At 49.8% G+C, this 1,792-nt stretch overlaps 1 annotated feature.

Annotated features, from left to right (window-relative positions):
- Window positions 268-377: an enhancer, noted in NCBI's record as "active region_5536". NCBI's record gives its function as "activates an Ori minimal core promoter by ATAC-STARR-seq in GM12878 lymphoblastoid cells {active_cell/tissue: GM12878}" and the evidence as "EXISTENCE:reporter gene assay evidence [ECO:0000049][PMID:35858748]".

Consider the following 1,792-nt stretch of genomic DNA (forward strand, 5'->3'; position numbering starts at 1 on the left):
TTGCATTGCCATAAAGGAATATCTGAGAATGGATAATTTACAAAGAAAAAAAGGTTTATTTGGCTCATGGTTCTGCAGGTTGTACAAGGAACATGGCGTCAGCATCTGCTTCTGGTGAAGGCTCGGGAAACTTCCACTCATGGCGGAAGATGAAGGGGGAGCACGCGTGTCACATGGCAAGAGAGGGAGCAAGAGAGAGAGGGAAAGCTGCTACCCTCTTTTTAACAACCAGCTCTCACAGGAACTCAGTCATTATCATGGTGAGGGCATGAAGCCGTTCATGAGGGGTCTGCCCCCATGACTCAAACACCTCCCACAGGGCCTCACCTCCAACACTGGGGGTCACATTTCACCACGAGATTTAGAGGGGGCGAAACAGCCAAACCACACCACAGATTCTATTTACCACCTGGTTATGCAGACTCCGTCAAGAGCCAGGGCACTCAATGCACAGTTAGTATTCACACAAGACATGGGACAGTGTGCCCAAACAGCCACAGTTTAGAAGGGGGCATGAGCAGACTGAGTGGGCCAGGGAAGCTTTCTGCAGGAGGTGGGGCAGACCAGAATGCAAAGCCTTTCCAGGAGGAGAGGACACCCAGCCAAGCACGTAGGAGTGGAAGTGACCTGGCATGGGCCAGAGTGGTGAAGAGCCTGGCCTGATTGGAACAGAGGCTGTGAGGGGGTCAGGTCCCATGCAGCCCTGGAGGTTTTGAGCTGGAGAGACACTTGATGGCTGTGGCATTTGGGAACATCCTTCTATGCTGGGAGAGGATGGAGGAAGGGAGCCCAGTGAGAAGATCTGGCAGCCTCCCAGGTAAGACCAGGAGGGTCAGGTGTGGGGGCAGCAGGAAATGGAGAAGCCTCTGACCCCTGTTTCGGTTCCATTTCCAGACATGCTCTGGTTTGCCTCAGAGGCTCAAAGACTGTATTTTTGTTTCTTCTCTCTTTCTACTTAAAGAACCTGCAGTTCAAAGTAGGGGAAAATCTAGTCTGTCTGTCAGTTGTCAGTAGGTCATGTAATGGGGCTCATGGTGAGCACAGAACTGGACTGCATTCCCTAGAGAGTTACAAAAGCAAGAGAGGAGAGGCCTCTGTCCCCGGCAAACAAGGCTGCCGGTGGATTCTGAAATGCACCCTGGATTGCATGGCTGCATCCCCAGCCTGCTTTCAGAAAAATAAATACTCATCTCTGAGAAATACAGACAGGGACAAAAACCTCATGATACTTCAAAACCTTTTTCTGTGGTGTTTGCATAATGTGAACCGTCACGTGCTCAGGAGCCAGAAGATGGGGGGAGGAGGGAAACATCCATGGCTGAGCCTCAAGCATGAAAGTAAAAAATGGATTTCAATAAAACATGATATAAAAACAAGAAATAACTGTAAATGGAATTGAAAGCAAATGACATAAAACTCCAGCACAAGGCTGCTCATTGCAATTCTGGAAACTTTACTTCTAGCAGCTGCACAGCCATCAGTATTCAGGGCTTTTTTTCTTTCCACTCCTGTGAATTTGTCACTCGTGGGGATGCGTGGCAGCTCTCTGGTTTCACATAGCTCCTGCTTCCTTTCCAAACCTCAGGCCACTGAGGCTGGGTGAGTGTCCAGTCCTACCCAGAAGACAGGCATGATCTGGGTAAGATCAGAGGGGAGGTCAGGGCCAAAGTTGAGGAAGGGACCCACTTGCTCTCTAGTCTTTAACTTCCTGTCCCATCAATACAGAGTCACAGCAGCCCCGTGTGACTCCTCTCCAAGAGGCCTCTTTCCCTATCAGCAAAACAGAAACCAT

This window comes from Homo sapiens, chromosome 11, assembly GCF_000001405.40.
Source record: "Homo sapiens chromosome 11, GRCh38.p14 Primary Assembly".
NCBI classification, from domain to species: Eukaryota; Metazoa; Chordata; class Mammalia; order Primates; family Hominidae; genus Homo; species Homo sapiens.